At 52.6% G+C, this 251-nt stretch overlaps 1 non-coding gene across 1 annotated transcript; it reads left to right on the top strand.

The window, feature by feature from the left end:
- Positions 1–76, top strand: MIR4663 (microRNA 4663). Its single transcript, NR_039808.1, has one exon. It is a non-coding gene; the product is annotated as a microRNA 4663 (primary transcript).
- The last annotated feature ends 175 nt before the right edge of the window (positions 77–251 follow it).

Genomic DNA, 251 nt, shown 5'->3' with positions numbered 1-251 from the left:
CTGTGGTGGAGCTGAGCTCCATGGACGTGCAGTGGCATCTGTCATTGCTGCCTTCCTGGAGCTCAGGCCCTTGCAGAGGCAGTCTGAGGCATGGCAAGCCACAAGCGCACAGCCTGTCCCCACCAAACCCCACTTCTGGTGCCAGAGGTGGCCCTGTACCCTGCACAGAACCATGTTTCAAAAAAATGTGCTTCCTTTTAGGAAAACCTTGGGCAAAAAATCTCTACAAAACAAATCTAAGGCCACCATTT

The sequence above is a fragment of the Homo sapiens genome, chromosome 8 (genome assembly GCF_000001405.40).
Source record: "Homo sapiens chromosome 8, GRCh38.p14 Primary Assembly".
Lineage (NCBI taxonomy): Eukaryota > Metazoa > Chordata > Mammalia > Primates > Hominidae > Homo > Homo sapiens.
The sequence above is the reverse complement of the archived record's forward strand: the minus strand, read 5'-3'. Positions and strand labels throughout refer to the sequence as shown.